General features: G+C 37.9%; 1 long non-coding RNA gene and 1 pseudogene across 1 annotated transcript, besides 1 other annotated feature; both read left to right on the forward strand.

Moving 5' to 3' along the window:
- The first annotated feature begins 5,009 nt into the window (after positions 1-5,009).
- LOC105377552 (uncharacterized) lies at positions 5,010-26,042 on the forward strand. The gene is made up of 3 exons (XR_939495.3): positions 5,010-5,150; positions 21,933-22,031; positions 25,976-26,042. It is a non-coding gene; the product is annotated as an uncharacterized LOC105377552 (long non-coding RNA).
- Positions 8,917-11,117, forward strand: LOC100131553 (disintegrin and metalloproteinase domain-containing protein 21-like; annotated as a pseudogene).
- Positions 25,157-25,699: an enhancer, noted in NCBI's record as "OCT4-NANOG hESC enhancer chr4:175954327-175954869 (GRCh37/hg19 assembly coordinates)". NCBI's record gives its function as "activates a minimal SCP1, AML or CMV promoter by ChIP-STARR-seq in primed H9 embryonic stem cells {active_cell/tissue: H9 hESC(primed)}" and the evidence as "EXISTENCE:reporter gene assay evidence [ECO:0000049][PMID:30033119]".
- Position 26,043: the final 1 nt, after the last annotated feature.

The following is a 26,043-nucleotide window of genomic DNA, read 5'->3' on the forward strand; positions in this document are numbered from 1 at the left end:
TGTCCAATTTAAGGCTGAATAATATTCCATTGTAGGTATATGACACATTTTACTTATTCATTCATGTATTAATCGACATTTAGGTTGTTGATTCCCCTTCTTGGTTATTGTGAATAGTGCTGCAGTGACAGAGTGCTAACATCTCTTTGAGACCGTGATTTCAATTCTTCTGAACAAATACCCAGAAGTGAGATTGCTGGATCATATGATAGTTGCATGTTTAATGTTCTGAATAACCTCCATACTATTTTCCATAGTTGCTGCACCATTTTACATTTGCAACAACATTATACAAGCATTCCAGTTTCTCCACACCCTTGGCAACATTTATATCATTATAGTCTTATTTTATAATAGCCATCCTAACCCATGTGCAGTGATACTTCATTATGGTTTTGATTTGCTTTTCCCTGATGAATTGTGATGTTTAAAATCTTTTCATGTGTCTGTTGACCTTCTGTATGTCTTTTTTGAAGAAATGTCTATGGAATCCCTTTGTGCATTTTTTAATTGGGTTGCTTTTCTATTGAGTTTTGTGATTTCTTTGTATGGTTTAAATATTAACCCTTTATCAGGTCTGTGGCTTGCAAATATTTATTCCTATTCCTTAGGCTGCCTTTAAACTCTGTTGTTTCCTTTGCTGTGCAGAAGCTTTTTAGGTTGATGTAGTCTCTCTTCCTATTTTTGCATTTGTTTCCTGTGCTTTTTGTGTCATATCCAAGAAATCATTGTAACAAGCACTTTCAAGAAGGTTTCCCTCTGTTTTGTTCTAAAAGTTTTACAGTTTCTGGTCTTAGGCATTTGTCTTTCATCTGTACTGAGTTGATTTTGTGTATAGTGTAAGAAAAGGATCCAAATTCATCTTTTTGCATATAAATATAGTTTTCATAACACCATTTGTTGAAAAACCCCAATGCTTTCCTCATTGTGTAGTATTGGTGCCCTTGTCAAAGATCGGTTGACTGTACATGTATGGGCTTATTTCTGGACTCTCCACTCTATTTCATTGGTGAATATGTCTATCTTATGCCACTACCAAATTGACTTAATTGCTGTAATTTGTGTTATATTTTGAAATCAGAAAATGTAATGCCTCTGGCTTTGTTGTTCTTGCTCAAGATTACTTTGGCTATTTGGAATCTTTTGTAGGTCCCTATGATTTCTTGGATTTTTTTTCTATTTCTGTAAAAATGCCACTGGGATTTTGATGAGGATCACATGAAATCACTAGATTGCTTTGGGTATTATGGCCATTTTAACAACACTACATCTTCTAATACATGAACACAAGATGTCTTTCCATTTATGTGTCTTCTTTAATATCTTTTATCAAGGTTTTCTATTAGCAGTACGGAAGACTTTTATCTCCTTCATTAAATTTATTCCTAAGTACTTTACTCATTTTCATACCATCGTAAATGGGATGTTTCTTAATTATTTTCAGATAGTTATTTGTTAATATAGACAAATATCAGTGATATGTGAATATTAATTTTCCATCTTGTAACATCACTGAATTTATGTATTAGTTTTAAAAATGTTTGGTTGTTTTGAGTCTTCAGATTTTCTACATATATGATCATGCCATCTGCAAAAAGAGATATTTATCCCTGTCTGATATGGATGCCTTTTATTTCTTTTGTTTATCTGCTCTGACTAGAACTTATACTACTATGTGGAATGAAATTGACAAGAGTGAACATCCTTGTCTAGTACCTGTTCTTAAAGGAAAAGGTTCAGTTTTTCATCATTGAGTATATTAGCTTTGGACTTTTCATAGATGGTTCTTATTATGTTGAGGTAAATTCCTTCCATATATACTTTCTTGAGAGATTTTGTCATGAAAGAATGTTGAATTCTGTCAAATGCTTTTTCCGTATAGGTTGAGGCGATCATGTATTTTTTATCCTTCAGTCCGTGAATGTGATGTACCACATTGATTGATTTGCATATACTGAACCATTCTTACATTCCAGAGGTAATTCCTGCTGGTTCGTGATGTATGATCCTTTTAGTGTGCTATTGAACTTGGTTTTACAGTATTTTGTCTTTTTTTCCCTTTCATGAAGATTGGGGTCTCACTATGTTGCCCAGGCAGGACTTGAACTCCTGAGCTCATGCTGTCCTCCTTCCTCTGCCTCCCAAAATGCTGGGGTTACAGGCATGAGCCACTGCACCCAGGAGTTTACTAATATTTTGTTGAGGATTTTTGTATCTAGGTTCATCACGGATATTGACCTATAGTTATTTTTTTTGTAGTGCCTTCATTTAGCTTTGGTATAAGGTTAATGTTGGCCTTATTAAATGAGTTAGAAAGTATTTTCTTCAATGTTTTGGAAGAGCTGGAGAATGACTAGTGTTAATTCTTTAAATGTTTGATAGAATTCACTAGAAAAACCATCTGGTCCTGGGTATTTCTTTGTTGTGAAGATTTTGATTGCTTATTAAATCTCCTTATCTGTTTTAGTATGTTCAAAAACCTATTTTCTGCTTTATGATTCAGCTATAGTACATAGGTGATATGTGTCTAGGAATTTATGTATTCCTTCTAGTTTTTCCACTTTGTTGGCATCTAATTGTTCATATTAGTCCCTTTTTATTTTTATGATGTCAGTTATAATGTTTTTTCTTTCACTTCTGGTTTTATTTATTTGAGTTTTCCCTTTATTTGTTAGTTTCATTAAGGGATTACCATTTTTGTTATTTTTTAAAAATGTCAAACTCTAGTAATTATTTTCCTGTTGATTTTTTCTTCTACTTATGACTGCTCTAATTTTTGTCATTTTCTTTTTCTGCTCAGTTATGACATAGTTGTTTTTTCTTTTTCTAGTTCCTTCGGGTATACTAAGTTAAGTTGTTTTGGGGGGATTCTTCTTCTGTTTTATAATAGGTATTTGTCACTATAAACTTTCCTCTTGGTAATGCTTTTGATGCAACCCATAAGTTGTGAGATGTTCTGTTTTCCCTTTTGTCTCAAAATATTTTAAATTTTCCTTTTAATTTCTTTTTTGACCCATTGGTTGTTCACTGTATTGTTTAATTTGCACATATTTATACATTGTTCTAGTTATCTTTTGTTATTGATTTCTAGTTTCCTTCCTTTAACATTGAAAAAGACATTAGGCATGATTTCAATCTTTTTAAATTTAAAATTTCTTTTTTGATGTGACATATGATCTATACTCAAAGATGTTCTGTGTGTGCTTGAGAAGAAGATGTATTCAGTTGCTGTTGGGTGGCTTGTTCTTCGTACATCTGTTAAATACACTTGTTCTACAGTGTTACTCAAAGCTGTTTACTTACTGATTTTCTATCTGGATTTCTATCCATCATTGAAAGTGAGGTATTGAAGCCTCCTACTAGTAATGTGCTGCTGCATATTATTCCCTTAAGTTATGTCAATGTTTGTTTCACATATTTAGGTGCTCTGATGATGGGTGCATATATATTTATCATTGTTATACATCTTCCTGATGAACTGACCCTGTCTATCATTACACAATGACCTTCTTTGTCTCCTGTAACAGTATTTGGCTTAATTTTATTTTATTTTATTTTTTTTTGACAGAGTCTCGCTCTGTCGCCCAGGCTGGAGTGCAGTGGCTCGATCTCCACTCACTGCAAGCTCCGCCTCCCGGGTTCATGCCATTCTCCTGCCTCAGCCTCCGGAGTAGCTGGGACTACAGGCGCCCGCCACCACGCCCAGCTAATTTCTTTTTGTATTTTTTTTAGTAAAGACGGGGTTTCACCGTGTTAGCCAGGCTGGTCGCGGTCTCCTGACCTCATGATCCGCCCGCCTGGGCCTCCCAAAGTGCTGGGATTACAGGCGTGAGCCACCGCGCCCGGCCGGCTTAATGTTTTTATTGTCTGATGTAAGTATGTGTCGCTGTAGAAGAGGAGAATTACAGATACAAGGAAATCAGCAGATGAATTTGGAGTTACGCTGCCAGAAACCAAGAAACTAACGGAAGGTACGAGAAAAGCCTGAAAGAGATCTTTCCCTAGCACCTTCTGAGGCAGTATGACCCTGACAATGCCGTGATATTGTGATTCTAGTCTTCAGAATTGTCAGACAATTGATGACTATTGTTTAAGCCATGCATCTTATGTTACATGGTTATGGAAGCCTTAGCAAACTAACACAGACATTAAAATCACCATGTGTAACTGTGGTCCTTTAAAAAATAACTGCAATAAAATATAGAGTAAAAGTAAAAAGGTCAGTGAAGGAAAAGGTATAGAGCTTAACTTACTAAGATGAAGGGGCAATGGAAACGCACTAGCAGATATCACACTTGTAGATATTACCAGCCCCTCTGCCCTACAAGTAAACTCTCAAGCATAATAGAGACTGAACTTGTTTCCGTGATTTCCCTAAGCCAACATGCGGAATGCAGTCTTCTCAGACTGGTACTTAAAATCCACCAGCTAACCAACTTACCAAATCAAATATATTCCCACACTATTACTTTATTCATCGCTCTCTTCTTCAAATTTTGTTTTGTCTTTTCTTACTGACAACAGCCCTCCATAAGAAATGAAGCATATGTATGTATAGATGTGAAATGTCTCTCAGTTATTCATTGACCTTAGACAAAAAGATATAGATGATTACTGATAGTTGAATTCCTTAAAAATTGTTTTAAATGAGGTTGAATTTTTTTCTAGAATTTAAAATACCTGAAGTATTCCATTATATGGTTCAATTTTGAGGAAATAATCTGTGACCAGGTAATAGTATGAGCTAAAGTACAGAAGGTAAAGAGATTATTTATCAGGTATATAAACGGAGGAAGGAAATCAGATTTCTTAATACTGAAGAGTTACTGGAGCACACAGAATGAGAACAAAGAAACTATATTTATTAATGTTAAAGAGTAATTATAAAATTTGGTAGAGATAATGCAGCTAGAGTAGGGATAAATCTTACCCAACTGCTATATTCTATAGAACTGAGAGACTCCTGTTGCTAGGCAATTAATCTAAAACTTAAATGAGAGACAATTGAAGGAGAGAATTTATGATTCTCTTCATCATGTGAGGCCTCAAATAAAAATATTCACAAAGATGAGTGTATAAACAATCCCAGTCCACGAATAGGGCTACAATTAGATAAGATCTGACAATTGGAGCTGACAATTCATCTGTTGGTAAGTCATTCAAAAGTTTAGCTCTAGAAGAGAGAAGCACCAGTACTTATGCATGCATGAATACACACAGATACACATACACGCACAATGTAATTCTTTACCAAGTGTTCAGATATTCAGGAGGATTTACACTCAATTATTTGGTAGTCTACTTACTTGCTTCAGAATCTTTAACATGTTTTTAAGGATTTTTTTAAAATTTTACTCATAGTTTATAAACAGTGAATTAGGCTATAAATGAGAGCGAGAGGGATGTGGTAATTAGGGTACAGAGAATGATGAATTCAATGAGTGTGGAGACAAAAAACCCAAACTTTGTAAAGGGTAATGTATGACCAACTACTTTGAAGTCTCTACTATTATAGCACTATACCACATTATTAATGAAAATATTATATTTTCTCAGGAGGTGTAGTCTCTGGAGTCATTGTATAAGATAATGTAATAAGTGCAAAGGCAGTCTGGCTCAAATATTTTTTTCAATTTGTTTCCTACTGCTTGCAAGATAAGTTCTTATAAACAAATTCTGAAAGATGTATACTGGTTAAGTTCACTCTCAATGGGGCTACATTAATGAAAAATAATCCTTTTCCATCACAACAAAAATCCACACTCCATAAAAATTAACAAATATATATCAAGAGAGATATGGAGAGAAAATCAGCGTAACAAAATTTTACTCACAATGTATAGATGTTGTCCTCAAAGATTTCTTCTACTGATGTGGCTTTCTTCTTGTGGCCTCTTGGCATTTTGTGAAGTAAACCTCCCTTTTATATCACTTGATTACTTTACCCAAGCAATCAAGCCACTCTTTTCACTTTAGTGAGAAGGATAACATATTCAGCCTGCAAAAAATCCGCTGCTACATACGTACAATGACAAACCAAATACTAAATATCTAATCCTATATTAAACAAACATGAAATGAAAAATTTTTGGTTTTATAACTTAAAATCACTGATACGCAATAACAATAGTAACTCATAAAAATGAAGACAAGGTTGATTTTCACTTAGGGTCCTATGCATTAATGAGGAAACTTAGAAAAACAGCTAGTTAAGAAAAAATGTGAACAAAATAAAAATTATTAAGAGCATAGGAGTGTTTAAAATATCTGTCCATGATTTCATCATTTAAGGGTGAAATGTCAGGCCATTTGATCTTAATTTTATGTTTCCCCTTTTTAAGCACCCCTAAATATATTCTGCGATTTATTATTCCAGAAGTGTTGGCAGTGAGCTGTAGGAGTGGCCAAAGCAGACAAAGGATTAATCTAGATTCACTTGAGGATTGTGGTCAACAGTGGTTGAACTGAAGAAGTCCAGAGCTAGGCTATGGGGATGGAAGGCACAGGAGGGGAATTTGGAAAGAGGGAAAAAAGAAAAGAAAGTGATTTTAATCCTCTATGAATTTGATGTGTAAGTTTCAATTAAGAATACAAGTTGTGGTTAACTAATATATCCAAATTAGGATGGTCAAGGATGGTAACACCATAGAGGTGATGGCCATAGGTCAACAGCAAAAGCTTATTGAAGATGAGATGTACAGGTAACAACAAACAAACAAACAAACAAACAAACAAAAAACTGGGTGCTGTATGGGTTTTCCATGCTTGGCAAACACAGTAAATATTATTGGCATAATTGGATAAGATGATTGGCAGAGAAGAAAGTAGTATCAGACACCCATTTATTTGTGGTTTGTGCAGGACTGATTTGGGAAGTTGGTGTAATAGTAAGGAAGAAAAGTAGATAATAATATAATGAGATGGCTGCCAGTTAAGTGGTTTGTAAGGGCCTTTGGCAATCAAAGCAAATTATGGCCAAACATCTGGTTTATAGGGAATATGAGAATGCTGAGAATAGAAAACTCCCTCTCTGCTGGGCTTCCCATCGTTGAGATATAAGTTTTGTAAACTTCAGTAGCAATAATGAGCTCTCCATAAAGAGATACGAGTGGAGAAGAGATTATTGTGGCTTTTCATGAAAGAAAGGTTCTGTAAGTGACAGGAAAATGATTCCAGAGAAAAGAGGTCAAACATCAAGATAAAACATAATTAAGTAGAAAAGAATCCAGGTATAGAAGATGACAGGTGCTGAAACTAGCATTTTTGATTTTTGTATTACCTACCATTGAAAGTGGTATTTAATCGGTGTGTTTTAGATTCCTCATAGCAGATTTCACTTTCTCCTGTGATTTTTTTCAATTAAGCCAGTAGTTCTTAATCTCATTACTTTGATAATCTCATCATTAATAGCCTGATAATCACTGTGAATACTCTCACTAGCTAAATAAAACTAGGCATTTTCTATGTAAAATATGGAATGGAATTTTACAAATTCCTAAAGTGTATCTTTGCCCCAAACACTCTGCCTGAATTTATGCTACGTATCATTAACTTATTTTGGCCTGTATCATTCATTTTTGTTTCTAAGTATGCAGCTTAGTGTCTACATATTACATGGTTTAATTAATGTGTTATTGAAGAGCAAAGCAACAAATCAGTGTTGCCAGCCATACTAGATTTCTCATTTGCACAAATACGTGGTAATAAATTTGTACTATTAGGTAAAACTTTTTATTGTATTTTTATATAAGCTATGTAAATGTTTTTTCATATATGACATAAATACTTTTGGAGGTCAATCTCAGGAGCTGGTGACTTTATCGTCTTAAAACTGCAAGGGACATTGATGCCTTTGTTCCAGCATAATATTACCTTCCCCAAAGCCTTCCTCCCCCTTTTTGGGGTTCATTAATTTCCTTTTCATTTCTGAAGGCAGTTTGTTTTGTCTTCAGCATTTTCACATCTCTGACCGTTACTTTCCTGGCTTGTTTTATTTCCTTTTCATTTTTCATAGCCAAAGGCTTTGAAAAGAGTTATTTTTATTAAGGGTATAACTAAATATATACATCTTTGAGTAATATCTATCTATGGACACATGGTACTACCTCATTTAATTCCACTATTTTTTTATTGTGTTATTCCACAAAGGTATCCACTACAGTAAATACTACTATTTTTGAAGAGCAACTGATGCTTTGTAATTTGACAGGAAGAAGTGAAGATAGGACAAGTAATGATTTGTTGCATGGAAGTATATATTAAGAAAGATGAAAAAAGATATGAAAGTATTTCATATATATATATATATCTCCAGAGTAATGTAACTAAATAATGTATCACTTGAAACTGAAAGGAAGAATATTGATATTTATTCCAATTCAATATGTATAAATCAAGATTCCCTTATCAAAACAAGATATACGTTCAGCTTTTAAGAGCCTTTCCTTTTAAATATTTGTGAAAATGTGCACACATATACATATATTTTGATAACAGCATAATGAATCCATGTGTTCTTTATCTGGGTTCGGGATTTATCAACTGGCAGGCAATTGTCATTTTTTAGTATACAGTCTGAGTTTGCGTCACCAATGTTGAAAAGCCAATCCAATGTAGTATTATATATTGAGTCATGTGTTGAGCCAAACACTAATCCATTTTCACCCATATATTCCTGTTTCTTCTTCACCCTGGCCTATTCATAACACCACCTGTGTGTCTTCCCTTCTTTTTATTTTGTCTTTTAATTTGGCTGCTCTGATAGATTGACTGTCAGAAAACAGACCACTAAGGGTCAGCATTGCATAAAATCAACCCAAGGGAGAAAGACAGACGAATCTTGCCTCCTGCCTTCCCCTCTTTTGCTCTCACTCATAGCTCCATCATGGTGGCTCCATAAAGGCTGCGGGTGAGGCCCTGCTGCATATGAGGATCACACACCTGCTGCTCTCACTGAGGATATTTCTCTTCCTTTTTTGATGAGCCCATATTGGGCACAAGACCACAGCCCCCCAGAAGTGGTGATAACCCTGAGGGTAACTTGCACTGGTAGTGGTATGAATCTTCTAAGCTGGCTCTCCTGTAGCTTGTAATTTGGGAAAAAGAGACATATTGTCCACATCAGAAGCTTTTGATTTCCAAACACCTCCCAGTGTTCACCTACAAAGACCAACATGCTCTCCTGGAAGATCACCCTATTGTCTGGAATGACTGCTGCTATCATAGTTTTGTGGAAAGGGATCCAGAATCCCTGGTTGCTATTAGCAACTGTTTTGGGGGTTTTCAAGGAACGCTACAGATAAATTACATTGATTATGAAATGACACCCAAAAGGCCTTCTGCCACATCTGAGCATCTGGTATAAAAAGCTGGGTAGTCAGGAGACAAAATTCCCAACCATGAAACGTGGATTAACAGAAGATATAGTAAGAGAATTAAAGTTTCAAGAATGTGATAATTCCACTCTGATGCAAAGTGGCTATGAGGGCTGGAGGGAGAACCCACGCATTTTTTCTTGAACTGGCAATAGTGGTAGACTATTCATTATTTGGAAAGTAATACCTCCCTTGGGCAGGAGGAAATAATAGTTGTTGCCAACAAATTAAATGTTGTTTAATAGTGCCATAGGACTTAATGTGATTTTAACTGTACTTGAGATCTGGAATGAAGAAAACCAAGTTACAGCAGGTGACCTATGTGTTCTTATATAACTTTGGCAAATGGAAATAAATAGCTATAATTTCTACATATCTGATGATGGTGTAGAACTTGCAGTAAAGGATAAATATGGTAGATTATTATCCTATACCATTATTGGTTCAACCTGTAATATTGGTTTTAATTATAGAGTTATACAGTTCCAAGGTACTGAATTTATATCATTTGCATTGCTGTTGGTACACGAGTTAGGTCATAGGTTTGGTATGCAGAATGATGGTAAAGATTGTTCTTGTGGTCATGAAACATGCACGATGTCTTCAAGAATATAAAGGGCAACAAGGTGAAACATCGTCTCCACAAAAAATAAAAAATTATCCAGATGTGGTGGTCCCAGCAACTCAGGAGGCTGAGATGGGCAGATCCATTGAGCCACTGAGCCAGGAAAATTGAGGCTGGCAATGAGCTGTGATTGTGCCACTGTATTCCAGCCTGAGACAGAGTGAGAGCCTGTCTTAAAAAAAAAATATATATATATATCAAAGACAAGTCATCTATTCAGACACAGAAATTATTCTATATTGGTCAGCCTTTTATCTAAGCACTATTTGTATACTGAAATCCAGAGAACATCATTGCAGAGAAGTGCTGTGGCAATGGTGTGGTTGAAGAAGGAGAGAAGTGTGACTGTGGATCCTTACGATTGTGTGCAAAATATCCATGTTGTTTGGCAAACTACACTCTGAAATCTGGGGCTGCTTGTGCTTTTGGGCTTTGATGCAAAGCCTGCTAATTCATGCTGTCAGGCAATATGTGCAGAGAAGAGAACAATGAATGCGTTATCTCATAGTGTTTCAATAGAAATTCACATATTGTCCAGCAGATATGAATGTGCACAACAGGATCCATTGCATGGGCAGTGTCTATTGCTATGAAAAGGGATGTATTAACTACGAACAGTGTAGGCAAATTTTTGGCAAAGAAGCAAACAGTGCAAATCAGAGTTGCTACAGAGAAATTAATACCTGTGGTTACCATTTTGGTCACTGTGGTATCTGAGGCTGGACATGTAAGATATAATATCTCAGATATCTTTTGTGGGAGAGTTCAATGTGAGAATGTGAAAGAAATTACCCATTTGAGAGATCACACTACTGAGCACTGAACTCACATCAGTGGTGTTACCAGCTACAGTACTGACTTTCATTTGGGGATGACAATAACTGATATTGGTGTAGTGAAAAATAGCACAGAGTATGGTCCAAAACAAGCGTACATTGACAGGAAGTGTGTTCATTATCATTTTGGAAAAGTACTTCTTCTTCTAAGACCCGCAATATGAGAGGAATCTGCAACCATAAACATTAGTGCCACTGCAACCAAAGGTGGAAAATACTTATTGCCTGATACAGGGCACTGGAGGTAGTGTTGATAGTGACCTATACCCTGCCCACCCCAAAAAGATGAAAGAGTTGTTCAAAAGGATTTTCTTGATAGTAATTTTTTAATTCCTTTTTCTCTTTTGTTTTACTGTTTGTTAATTTTGCTTTCAGTGATACACACAACAAAAGAAAAAGAAAGAAAGAAACAAAGAAAGAAAGAAAGGAAAGAAAGAAAGGAAAGAAAGAAAGAAAAGAAAGAAAGAAAGAGAGAAAAACATCATCTAAGAAAGAAGTGCAAATTGTTCAAACTTCACCTGAGATAGAAAAGCAAACTGTTCAAACTTCACCTAATAAAGAAATGCAAAATGTTCAACTTTCAATTATGAACAAAGAGCAAAATCTTTAAACTTTATTTCAGAAAAAAATAGTAGGGGATTCCTGGAGAAGCTGCAGTGTGGGGATGCTCTAGACCGAGTACTGCCCCCAGTGTCTTTCCACCTCCTCCTGCAGCAGCGGCAGCAGCAGCAGCAGTTAGCAGTAGCAACTTGAGGCTGCACCCCGGGCTGCCACTCCAAGAGCGGAGGCAGTGAGAGTACGCGTGTGCCTCGCGCCAGTCCACGCTAGGAGAGCACTGGGACCGAGACCCGGCACCACCTCCCGGTCCGCCCTCCAGAACTTTGTTGAGGAGGAGCCAAGATGGCCGAATAGGAACAGCTCCGGTCTACAGCTCCCAGCGTGAGCGACGCAAAAGACGGGTGATTTCTGCATTTCCATCTGAGGTACCGGGTTCATCTCACTAGGGAGTGCCAGACAGTGGGCGCAGGTCAGTGGGTGCACGCACCCTGCGCGAGCCGAAGCAGGGTGAGGCATTGCCTCACTCGGGAAGCGCAAGGGATCAGGGAGTTCCCTTTCCTAGTCAAAGAAAGGGGTGACGGACAGCACCTGGAAAATCGGGTCACTCCCACCCGAATACTGCGCTTTTCCGACAGGCTTAAAAAACGGCGCACCACGAGATTATATCCCGCACCTGGCTCAGAGGGTCCTACCCCACGGAGTCTCGCTGATTGCAAGCACAGCAGTCTGAGATCAAACTGCAAGGCGGCAGCGAGGCTGGGGGAGGGGCGCCCTCCATTGCCCAGGCTTGCTTAGGTAAACAAAGCAGCCAGGAAGCTTGAACTGGGTGGAGCCCACCACAGCTCAAGGAGGCCTGCCTGCCTCTGTAAGCTCCACCTCTGGGGGCAGGGCACAGACAAACAAAAAGACAGCAGTAACCTCTGCAGACTTAAATGTCCCTGTCTGATAGCTTTGAAGAGAGCAGTGGTTCTCCCAGTACGCAGCTGGAGATCTGAGAACGGGCAGACTGCCTCCTCAAGTGGGTCCCTGACCCCTGACCCCCGAGCAGCCTAACTGGGAGACACCCCCCAGCAGGGGCACACTGACACCTCACACAGCAGGGTACTCCATCAGACCTGCAGCTGAGGGTCCTGTCTGTTAGAAGGAAAACTAACAGAAAGGACATCCACACCAAAAACCCATCTGTACATCACCATGATCAAAGACCAAAAGTAGATAAAACCACAAAGATGGGGAAAAAACAGAACAGAAAAACTGGAAACTCTAAAAAGCAGAGTGCCTCTCCTCCTCCAAAGGAACGCAGTTCCTCCCCAGCAATGGAACAAAGCTGGACGGAGAACGACTTTGACGAGCTGAGAAAAGAAGGCTTCAGACGATCAAATTACTCTGAGCTACGGGAGGACATTCAAACCAAAGGCAAAGAAGTTGAAAACTTTGAAAAAAATTTAGAAGAATGTATAACTAGAATAACCAATACAGAGAAGTGCTTAAAGGAACCGATGGAGCTGAAAACCAAGGCTCGAGAACTACGTGAAAAATGCAGAAGCCTCAGGAGCCGATGCGATCAACTGGAAGAAAGGGTATCAGCGATGGAAGATGAAATGAATGAAATGAAGCGAGAAGGGAAGTTTAGAGAAAAAAGAATAAAAAGAAATGAGCAAAGCCTCCAAGAAATATGGGACTATGTGAAAAGACCAAATCTATGTCTGATTGGTGTACCTGAAAGTGACGGGGAGAATGGAACCAAGTTGGAAAACACTCGGCAGGATATCATCCAGGAGAACTTCCCCAATCTAGTAAGGCAGGCCAACGTTCAGATTCAGGAAATAGAGAGAACACCACAAAGATACTCCTCGAGAAGAGCAACTCCAAGACACATAATTGTCAGATTCACCAAAGTTGAAATGAAGGAAAAAATGTTAAGGGCAGCCAGAGAGAAAGGTCGGGTTACCCTCAAAGGGAAGCCCATCAGACTAACAGCGGATCTCTCGGCAGAAACCCTACAAGCCAGAAGAGAGTGGGGGCCAATATTCAACATTCTTAAAGAAAAGAATTTTCAACCCAGAATTTCATATCCAGCCAAACTAAGCTTCATAAGTGAAGGAGAAATAAAATACTTTACAGACAAGCAAATGCTGAGAGATTTTGTCACCACCAGGCCTGCCCTAAAAGGGCTCCTGAAGGAAGCACTAAACATGGAAAGGAACAACCGGTACCAGCCGCTGCCAAATCATGCCAAAATGTAAAGACCATCGAGACTAGGAAGAAACTGCATCAACTAATGAGCAAAAGAACCAGCTAACATCATCATGACAGGATCAAATTCACACATAACAATATTAACTTTAAATGTAAATGGACTAAATGCTCCAATTAAAAGACACAGACTGGCAAATTGGATAAAGAGTCAAGACCCATCAGTGTGCTGTATTCAGGAAACCCATCTCATGTGCAGAGACACACATAGGCTCAAAATAAAAGGATGGAGGAAGATCTATCAAACAAAAAAAGGCAGGGGTTGCAACCCTAGTCTCTGATAAAACAGACTAAACCAATAAAGATCAAAAGAGACAAAGAAGGCCATTACATAATGGTAAAGGGATCAATTCAACAAGAAGAGCTAACTATCCTAAATATATATGCACCCAATACAGGAGCACCCACATTCATAAAGCAAGTCCTGAGTGACCTACAAAGAGACTTAGACTCCCACACATTAATAATGGGAGACTTTAACACCCCACTGTCAACATTAGACAGATCAACGAGACAGAAAGTCAACAAGGATACCCAGGAATTGAACTCAGCTCTGCACCAAGTGGACCTAATAGACATCTATAGAACTCTCCACCCCAAATCAACAGAATATACATTTTTTTCAGCACCACACCCCACCTATTCCAAAATTGACCACATACTGGGAAGTAAAGCTCTCCTCAGCAAATGTAAAAGAACAGAAATTATAACAAACTATCTCTCAGACCACAGTGCAATCAAACTAGAACTCAGGATTCAGAATCTCACTCAAAACTGCTCAACTACATGGAAACTGAACAACCTGCTCCTGAATGACTACTGGGTACATAACGAAATGAAGGCAGAAATAAAGATGTTCTTTGAAACCAACAAGAACAAAGACACAACATACCAGAATCTCTGGGACGCATTCAAAGGAGTGTGTAGAGGGAAATTTATAGCACTAAATGCCCACAAGAGAAAGCAGGAAAGATCCAAAATTGACATCCTAACATCACAATTAAAAGAACTAGAAAAGCAAGAGCAAACACACTCAAAAGGTAGCAGAAGGCAAGAAATAACTAAAATCAGAGCAGAACTGAAGGAAATAGAGACACGAAAAACCCTTCAAAAAATTAATGAATCCAGGAGCTGATGTTTTGAAAGATCAACAAAACAGATAGACCACTAGCAAGACTAATAAAGAAAAAAAGAGAGAAGAATCAAATAGACGCAATAAAAAATGATAAAGGGGATATCACCACCGATCCCACAGAAATACAAACTACCATCAGAGAATACTACAAACACCTCTACGCAAATAAACTAGAAAATCTAGAAGAAATGGATAAATTCCTCGACACATACACTCTCCCAAGACTAAACCAGGAAGAAGTTGAATCTCTGAATAGACCAATAACAGGATCTGAAACTGTGGCAATAATCAATAGCTTACCAACCAAAAAGAGTCCAGGACCAGATGGATTCACAGCTGAATTCTACCAGAGGTACAAGGAGGAACTGGTACCATTCCCTCTGAAACTATTCCAATCAATAGAAAAAGAGGGAATCCTCCCTAACTCATTTTATGAGGCCAGCATCATTCTGATACCAAAGCCTGGCAGAGACACAACCAAAAAAGAGAATTTTAGACCAATATCCTTGATGAACATTGATGCAAAAATCCTCAATAAAATACTGGCAAAACGAATCCAGCAGCACAGCAAAAAGCTTATCCACCATGATCAAGTGGGCTTCATCCCTGGGATGCAAGGCTGGTTCAATATATGCAAATCAATAAATGTAATCCAGCATATAAACAGAGCCAAAGACAAAAACCACATGATTATCTCAATAGATGCAGAAAAGGCCTTTGACAAAATTCAACAACGCTTCATGCTAAAAACTCTCAATAAATCAGGTATTGATGGGACGTATTTCAAAATAATAAGAGCTATCTATGACAAACCCACAGCCAATATCATACTGAATGGACAAAACTGGAAGCATTCCCTTTGAAAACCGGCACAAGACAGGGATACCCTCTCTCACCACTCCTATTCAACATAGTGTTGGAAGTTCTGGCCAGGGCAATTAGGCAGGAGAAGGAAATAAAGTGTATTCAATTAGGAAAAGAGGAAGTCAAATTGTCCCTGTTTGCAGACGACATGATTGTATATCTAGAAAACCCCATTGTCTCAGCCCAAAATCTCCTTAAGCTGATAAGCAACTTCAGCAAAGTCTCAGGATACAAAATCAATGTACAAAAATCACAAGCATTCTTCTACACCAACTACAGACAAACAGAGAGCCAAATCATGAGTGAACTCCCATTCACAATTGCTTCAAAGAGAATAAAATACCTAGGAATCCAACTTACAAGGGATGTGAAGGACCTCTTCAAGGAGAACTACAAACCACTGCTCAAGGAAATAAAAGAGGATACAAACAAATGGAAGAACATTCCATGCTCATGGGTAGGAAGAATCAATATCGTGAAAATGGCCATACTGCCCAAGGTAATTTACAGATTCAATGCCATCCCCATCAAGCTACCAATGCCTTTCTTCACAGAATTGGAAAAAACTACTTTAAAGTTCATATGGAACCAAAAAAGAGCCTGCATCGCCAAGTCAATCCTAAGCCAAAAGGACAAAGCTGGAGGCATCACATTACCTGACTTCACACTACACTACAAGGCTACAGTAACCAAAACAGCATGGTACTGGTACCAAAACAGAGATATAGATCAATGGAACAGAACAGAGCCCTCAGAAATAATGCCGCATATCTACAACTATCGGATCTTTGACAAACCTGAGAAAAACAAGCAATGGGGAAAGGATTCCCTATTTAATAAATGGTGCTGGGAAACCTGGCTAGCCATATGTAGAAAGCTGAAACTGGATCCCTTCCTTACACCTTATACAAAAATCAATTCAAGATGGATTAAAGACTTAAACGTTAGACCTAAAACCATAAAAACTCTAGAAGAAAACCTAGGCATTACCATTCAGGACGTAGCTATGGGCAAGGACTTCATGTCTAAAACACCAAAAGCAATGGCAACAAAAGCCAAAATTGACAAATGGGATCTAATTAAACTAAAGAGCTTCTGCACAGCAAAAGAAACTACCATCAGAGTGAACAGGCAACCTACAAAATGGGAGAAAATTTTTGCAGCCTACTCATCTGACAAAGGGCTAATATCCAGAATCTACAATGAACTCAAACAAATTTACAAGAAAAAAACAAACAACCCCATCAAAAAGTGGGCAAAGGACATGAACAGACACTTCTCAAAAGAAGACATTTATGCAGCCAAAAAACACATGAAAAAATGCTCATCATCACTGGCCATCAGAGAAATGCAAATCAAAACCACAATGAGATACCATCTCACACCAGTTAGAATGGCAATCATTAAAAAGTCAGGAAACAACAGGTGCTGGAGAGGATGTGGAGAAATAGGAACACTTTTACACTGTTGGTGGGACTGTAAACTAGTTCAACCCTTGTGGAAGTCAGTGTGGCGATTCCTCAGGGATCTAGACCTAGAAATACCATTTGACCCAGCCATCCCATTACTGGGTATATACCCAAAGGACTATAAATCATGCTGCTATAAAGATACATGCACACATATGTTTATTGCAGCACTATTCACAATAGAAAGACTTGGAACCAACCCAAATGTCCAACAATGATAGACTGGATTAAGAAAATGTGGCACATATACACCATGGAATACTATGCAGCCATAAAAAATGAAGAGTTCATGTCCTTTGTAGGGACATGGATGAAATTGGAAATCATCATTCTCAGTAAACTATCGCAAGAACAAAAAACCAAACACCGCATATTCTCACTCATAGGTGGGAATTGAACAATGAGATCACATGGACACAGGAAGGGGAACATCACACTCTGGGGACTGTTGTGGGGTGGGGGGAGGGGGGAGGGATAGCATTGGGAGATATACCTAATGCTAGATGACGAGTTAGTGGGTGCAGCGCACCAGCGTGGCACATGTATACATATGTAACTAACCTGCACAATTTGCACATGTACCCTAAAACTTAAAGTATAATAATAAAAGAAAAAAAAAAAGAAAAAAATAGTAAAAATTTACTATTTCAGAAAATAAACCCAATTCCTAATGAAATTTTTCGTCTGTTAATTTTTAATGACCTGGCAGTAGAAATGTTATTGTGTATGTCAGAGATCATTGAAAGAAAATCCCAGAGATCTATTATATTTAATAATCACAAATAGTAGCCATTAAATGAAAAAGTTAGTACTAGAATATTAATACTTTTCATTATTTTAAGTAATTTTAGTGGTTTATTTTTCATGAAATTAGTCACATGTTTCCTGAGCAAAGGCCGGGCTCATGGATGATATATGTGCATTTTAATTTTAATGTGCTGTCTCTCAATTTCAAAACTCCTTCCCTTTTCCAATCTGCTTTGTCACAAGAAGGATGGGTGCCTATACAATAACAGCTTTTCTTTGCCAGTCCTCTCTCTATTAGTGTCTTCCAATGGGGCGGCTAGAGGCAGACTAGAAACCTGAGATAACCATTTCATAGCTGTTCATGTCAGCATTGGCTCAGTAAAAGCTTTTACCTTGGCAGCAGCAGTAGTTCTCAGTCTGTACATGATTTTTATTGTTAAATCAAAAACTTCAGACAAATAAAATTTAGCAGAGTTTACTTGAAGAAAGAATCATTCATGAATTAGTAGCACTCAGAACCAGGAGAGATTCAGAGACCTCCACTAGGCAACATGGCCATTCAGTATTTGTAGACAAAAATAGTAACTGGTGTATAGAAGCACATTGATTGTTTACAGCTGGGCATTGGCCTTATTTGGGCATGATGTCATAAGGCATATGCCTTATGTGGACATGGTCTGATCAGCTGGCACCCTGTGATTAACTGAAGCTCAGCTGCCGTGATTGGCTAGGACTCAGCCATTTGTTGCAGGAATATACTTTTAAGTTAGGTAGCAGTTTTTTTTTTTTAAATACAACATTAGGTTGAACTCTGTTATGAAGGAATTCAAAGTATGGAGGGAGTTTTAGGCCATATTTATTTTAATTTAAAATGTCCCCATTTGGTCGGCTTCTCAATTTGGAAAGATTGACCAAAACCTTGGGCACTGACATCATTCTGTCACCATCACAATGATCTTGTTTGGTCTCAGTATGGAATTTATAATTCACAATTGGGTTAGTTGAATGTTTCTTCTGTTCTTTTTAGGTTTTCACTATTCAAACTGTAGTAAGATCACTTGGCATATGACAGATGGCTGCATAAGAACATTTAAGACTCTTGAGAGAATCTGGTGCACCAGAGAAACCATTATGATGGCTATCAGGAGGATAATACTAAGAAAATGAAATACACTCTAACAGGAGCCCCAAATAAGCAAACTGATCAAAATCAAATATATAAAATATGAACCACAAGAGAAATCTATTTGTTTTAGCCATTCAGCTTGTTTGTTGATTTCTTGCAGCTGAATTTCTTCCATACCAGATGTATTTATCCAAGGGCATCAGAAGTGTTAGCTATCACACATGCTCCCCCTTGTTAGGCCATCAATAGATAGTCCAAAGCAATCATGTTATCTAAGGACAACATTAGTAAGAAAGTTTCAAGAAATTTCCTTGGGCAACTGTAACCTTTGCAGTAGAGTCAGCTATATATGGTACCTAATATTTGAGATAGGTTTCTATAATCATAACTTAAATGACATTAATGCGAAGCCAGGGAAAATCACCCTTCAAAAAGATGCCTATTTGGAAGGATTTATGTCTGCTAGCAAATTCCTCTTTATTCTATAGTGCAAATTAAGAAGTGTGGCCCAATGATCAGTTTTCAATTGGTTATAGAGTGACAGTGGTAGCATTAAAATCACTCATCTACATTGGTCCTTCATTAGCCACTTACTGAAACATAGGGTTGCCATGCACATGGTTAAATGATGACAATATTGTTAAATCCTTCACAGATAAATATACATCCTGGAAAGGCACAACAAACAGCTCTCTGTGGGATGCCTTGTGTGTGAGCAGTCATCAGTAGGGAAACACTAGCAGCATTTATGCCAGGCTCCATTACTGAATCACTGAATGCTTTGATGCTTCCAAAAATTAAAGGAATAGGTTACACATTTGTGTACAAATTGTTGAATTATTTTTCCTTTCGTCTTCTTATTCAACTTATGGCAGAGTTTAACTGCAAAACCATCACTTTAGTTTTGTCTATTGTTACATTTAAACAAGAAAACTGAATACATAAGTCTAGAAAGTATCAGAAATCATATTTGAAATACCAGTTACAGAGTGAACCAGAAGCTAAGATTATATAAGGACTTACGTTTCACATGACATATCCAAAATTCAGTTAAGTTCCCTGAGTATCGGGGGAAATTCAGCCAGATATCGGCCGAAATTCAGCCCTGATACTTCACGTACGTTCTTTTCTATTTTCCCTAAGTGTCAGCCGGTCTGAGATATAAAGGGACAGAGTACAAAAGAGAGAAATTTTAAAGCTGGGTGTCCGGGGGAAGACATCACATGACGGCAGGTTCCATGATGGCCCCTGAGCCGCAAAACCAGCAAGTTTTTATTAGTGATTTTCAAAAGGGGAGGGAGTGTACAAATAGGGTGTGGGTCACAGAGATCACGTGTTTCACAAGGTAATAGAATATCACAAGGCAAATTGAGGCAGGGTGAGATCACAGGACCACAGGACTGGGGCAAAATTAAAATTGCTAATGAAGTTTCAGGCACACATTGTCATTGATAACATCTTATCAGGAGGCAGGGTTTCAGAGCAGACAACCAGTCTGACCAAAATTTATTAGGTGGGAATTTCCTCATCCTAATAAGCCTGGGAGTGCTATGGGAGACTGGGGCTTATTTCATCCCTACAGCTTTGACCATAAAAGATGGCTGCCCTCCGAAGCGGCCATTTTAGAGACCTACCCTCAGGGACGCATTCTCTTTCTCAGGGATGTTCCTTGCTGAGAAAAAGAATTCAGTGATATTTCTCCCATTTGCTTTTGAAAGAAGAGAAATATGGCTGTGTTCTGCCTGGCTCACCGGCGGTCAGAGTTAGAGGTTATCTCTCTTGTTCCCTGAACATTGCTGTTATCCTGTTCTTTTTTCAAGGTGCCCACATATTGTTCAAACACATGTGCTCTACAAGCAATTTGTGCAGTTAATGCAATCATCACAGGGTCCTGAGGTGGCATACATCCTCCTCAGCTTATGAAGAGGACAGGATTAAGAAATTAGAGTAAAGACAGGCATAGGAAATCACAAGGGTATTGACTGGGGAAGTGATAAGTGTCCATGAAATCTTCACAATTTATGTTCAGAGATTGCAATAAAGACAGGCATAAGAAATTATAAAAGTATTAATTTTGGGGAACTAATAAATGTTCATGAAATCTTCACAATTTATGTTCTTCTGCCATGGCTTCAGCTGGTCCCTCCATTCAGGGTCCCTGACTTCCCGCAACACCTGAGGATGCTATCAAATATGACATCTTAATTACTGCATTATCTTGTCATGTATAGAAAGAAAAGAAACACAGAGAAAAAAGTCAGGAGGACAAAAGTTTCATGCAGGTAACTTCACCTGTGATCTTGGGAAGGTTGTCTACACCTAGGATGTCATCTGCTTCTCTGAAGAAACCTCCCTGGCCAGTTTGACCATGAGGTCTCCAATGACTGTACAATCCCAGGAGTCTGGAATGGCTCTCTTAAGTTGAGACATGAATCCAAGAATCAAGGCACCGAAGTTGTACTTCCAAGGGGTTCCAAGGGCAGTCTTTTTCTGGTGTTCATTCCAAAAGACTCAACATCCAGACTCTAGATCATTAATGGTGTAGCAGATATCTGCTGGTGGTTCACAAAGGGCTTCTTTTCGGTGGAAAAAATATACTTTGGCATAATCCATTAAGGTCTTGCAATATCGAGTCATTTCAGAGTTCATGAGTGTGAGATACATGAAGTCCAATTATTAGGGGCATGGTCCTTCTAGTAATTATTTCATAAGCGGTCAGTCTGTACTTTCTAGTGGATCATCAATCAGTAGTAACTTTGATCAAAGCAACCCATTCGATTCAGTTAGCTTTGCTTAATGGCTTTGTGTTTGCAATTCCTTATTTGACACTTTTATAATTTTTCTAGTGAAATGAATACCTTCATTGCTGAAGATTTCTCCAAGAATGCCCCATAAACAAAACACATTTTCTAATAATTTTTTTTTTTTTGCTTATGTTATAGATTCAGCCTTCTCGCATGGGAAAGATTTTATACAAACAGAAAAGAGTCATCAAAGTTGGCAATTGAGTAAAATCCCTCTGTAAATATTCAAGTGATCCAGTAAGTGGCAAAAATGTATCAACTGAGGTCATTTTCTTACTAGAATTATGGGTTTGACAACCCCAACAATGGTTATAAACCACTTCAGCAGTTTTAGAATAGTCACCCCATCATTTCTTTTCATGATTTGTATCATCTCATCTATTCCATAATGAGTCAGAGTGTTGTCTTTAATAATGAAAACTTTAAAAAGTCAGGAAAGATCAGGCAGCTATCAAAGCCTCCATAAGTCTCCACTTAACATTAGATCTACATATTTTTAAATACTAGATTTTTTTCCCTCCAAGTAAGGCATGTAGCACTGTTTATTAAATAGTTATTATAGGTAATTTGACTTGGATTTATCTTATGAAATTCATTCAAATTGCATATAATAACAATTTCAGTACTGACTGACTTAGCATAAAAATCTGACTACGCATTTCCTTGGTATTTAATTAACTCTTATTCTACTTGATTTTTGGTTAGCAGTTTTATGAATCAGTCAGTCTCTTCATTAGAGTTTTTGGGAATACTTACCTGGTACAATAGTATGATCAGATTTCTAAGACAGGCATGTAATTTCTGGAATACATAATAACACATCTACACAAATATAATTCAAAGAAGGTTTGGACTTACTTATTTGGCAATGCTTTCACATAATTTAATATATCAAATAAGCCAAATTAACTTAATATCTCTCTTTTCACAAAGATAGATACCTGTTTGATTTTTCCAATAGCACCCATGAAAAATCTCAAGGTTAATTTGAGATTAAAAAAAAAGACTTAATTTAAATTTGGTTTCTGAAAGTATGTCAAAAATATGAAGGATGTGAAACACTGGATCAAAATAGGATCACAGGCTACTGTGTATGATCATTGTTAATTTAATCAAAGTAATAATTTAAAGACTTCCAAGGCAAATACAGAAAGTTTGTTGTAGAAAAATTTTAGTTCTTTCAATAAAGAAGGCAGTTTTCTTAAGCCAACAAAAACCTAGTAAACACTGAAGTGCAAGAAGTTATCTTAGTAAAACGCAGAATCATTGTTTTCTATCGCCTAGGCCATTTAACTAAAAGATAAAGAAGGCTGGGCATGGTTGCTCACGCCTGTAATGCCAGTACTTTGGGAAGCCCAGGCAGCCGGATCATGCAGTCAAGAGATTGAGATCATCCTGGCCAACATGGTGAAACCCTGTCTCTACTAAAAATACAAAAATTAGCTGGGTGTGGTGGTGCATGCCTGTAGTCTCAGCTACTCGGGAGGGTGAGGTAGGAGAATCGTTTGAACCCAGGAGGCAGAGGTTGCAGTGAGAGATCACACCACTGCACTCCAGCCTGGCGACAAAGCGAGATTCCATCAAAAAAAAAAAAAAAAAAAAAAAAAGAGAGATAAAGAAAATCCCTTCACGGTTTCTTTTAAGAACAGACCAAAATTCCAAGAAAACTGTTGTTTAACACAAGGCTCAAAATTCTAGTTTCATATCAGTGTACTTTTGGTGTTAATACTCCATTTTTAGAAAAACTTATAAATAATTCCTTTCTAAGTTTATCTAGCTTAATCACACATAAAATTCCTTTCACAAGATTCATCTTCCACAAACCTTCTGACTTCCTTATCCATTCAGTTTTTATCATATACTTTCCCTCTTCTCATTTTAGAACTAGTCATTCTTTAGAAAAAAAATTACTTTCTTCTTCCCTTAACAAAACATCCTCATACCTTATAGTTTTTGCATATAAAGACACATCTTACCTTCCTTGTATACTCGCATAGAGAGTTATTTCCCTTATTATTTCTAACAGTTTTATTTACACATAGTATTAGAATTCTTAACCCTTAGTGACCTTAGTTTCCAGTAAACACTAGGAAGCAAAGAATTTCAAACCATCTTTCTTGCTAGCAATTTGTAGATCAGCAAATCTAAGAATTGTAATTTCAAGAAATATGTGTTTCCCAAACTACAATTTGTCAGTGTGGCACAAAACATTAGTATCTTTGATAAGAAACTGTAGATGAGGCAAAACGTACCTGTGTTAGGTTTTTTTGGCTAGGCATGAGAATCAATTGTTTGTATAGCTATCCCTCAGCCTCAACTTTCCATTCTTGGTGGTAAGAATGTTAAAACCTTCTGTTACAGGGAGGACATATTTCATATGGGAATTTTATTTTGCTTACATCTATTTAACTCAACTTATTAAAACAATTATGCTTACATTATTCATAAAGATGAGACATTAAATAGCTTGCCATCATCTTTTCTTGGTGACAAATTTTGTAATATGGTGTTAAGATGAGCTTTTTATCAGGAAACCTAGGTAAAAGAAATTGTACATCTGTATTATATTTAAAGCTGAGGACACTGAGGATGTGCTTGTCTTAATCAAACCAAGAAAATTTTTATTTACCAAAGATTACTCAAGACACATAAACTTGAAAGTTTGGGGGACAGTTTTCATTTTCCTGAGAGAATATTTAGTTTATAAATGTGTTTGTTTTTCTTTACACTAGTTAAATAAATCTCTTCTACAATTTAATTCTGCCAATATCATAAGAAGATAGAAAAATATTGATGCTTTTTTTTTCTTTTTGGCTGAGCTTTGCCAGCCAGAGACCTCTGTGCCAGGCAATGCCCCTGTCCAGGCCTCAGTCAGTCCCAGGCTCACTACAGGAGGTGCCGTGCCCACTCACCCTGCTGGGCTGTGCCTCACTTGCACTCCAGTCCAGATTCCATGTTTGCTGTGGGATCCATATTCAGATCCCAGCAGGAGTGGATGTGTAAGCAAGCGAGTGGGGTCCAGCTGGCCACTCCAAGTGCCAGCACTGGAGTGGGCTCTGTATGAGGCTTGGGCTGGACCAAGCATGTTGCAAGTGACTCCCTCGGTGGACTCCAGCATCCAGACGAGGGGAATGTGGTGATACCCAAATAGGAATGCCCGTGACCCTGAAGCTCCAGAGGGCATGTTACAGTGTGCTAACAGCTCTTCTAGTCCCACCACTGGCAACCCAAATGGGTTTGTTAACAGCTCTGTCAGTCCCATTGCTCCACTCTGGCCTGCAGCTCTTGGGCTGGCCTAGCCCCACTGCTACTTCCCACTTCTACTTCCCATGATGTAGGGCAGCAGGCTACAGTGCTACTGCCTGCTTCCTACCTGTGTTTGGCAGGGTCTGAAATTCTTGTCCCATATCAAAGAAGAATGAAATCATGCTGACAACTGGAGGGCGAAGAGGGCAGAAAAGAGTTTTTTGAGCAATGAAACAGCTCTCAGTGGAGAGGGGAAAAGAGGGTGGTCCCCACCAGAAGTCAGGTAGTTTGTCTCCCACTGTGGCTGGGTCCAGGGCTTTTATGGGCTCAGAATGAAGGAATGTCTGTTGACTGGCTTGTGAGTATGCAAAAAAGCCTAAAACAAAGACACCACTGAAAGATGGACAATACTGTGTTAAAAAACAATTAGGGAAGGGTAGCTATGTGTAAAATAGGTGAAGAGTGGAGATCAATTGGGGATAACATGCCAAAAAGGAAGAGACGTTCTCAATCGGGTCCATGGATTTATCCAAGACTTGTAGTTTGGCTTTCAGGTTTTAAACTGTCTTTGGTTTGAAGATCAGGTTTCACCAGGAACTGCCCCTGTCTGCTTAGAATTTTTCTGCCTCCTGCTGCTATCAATATCACATATATGTATCATTCATAAACATATGGACAGGTACAAAAATACAAAGCTCGCTAGTTTATTAAAGAATACCTGTATCCAGATTGTTTTTTCTTTCTGGCTGATGAATTAAGACCCCTTGCCCAGATGGTCAAAATGCTTCACTTACATTTGTGAAAGAAAGAAAAAGGAAAAGGAAAAAAAAATGACTTAGAATTTTTCATTCATCAGTTTCCAAATAGTGCTTTTTTATTTTGTTCTCTCTTTTCTCTTCTTCTATGTCATCACCTCGAAATTTGCATTTCCAAAGGGAATAGCCCTTAGGTAAGATCATGTAGAAAATGTACATCTCAAAGGCACAGAGCTGTAACTTCAAGG

The sequence above is a fragment of the Homo sapiens genome, chromosome 4 (genome assembly GCF_000001405.40).
Source record: "Homo sapiens chromosome 4, GRCh38.p14 Primary Assembly".
Classification (NCBI taxonomy): domain Eukaryota; kingdom Metazoa; phylum Chordata; class Mammalia; order Primates; family Hominidae; genus Homo; species Homo sapiens.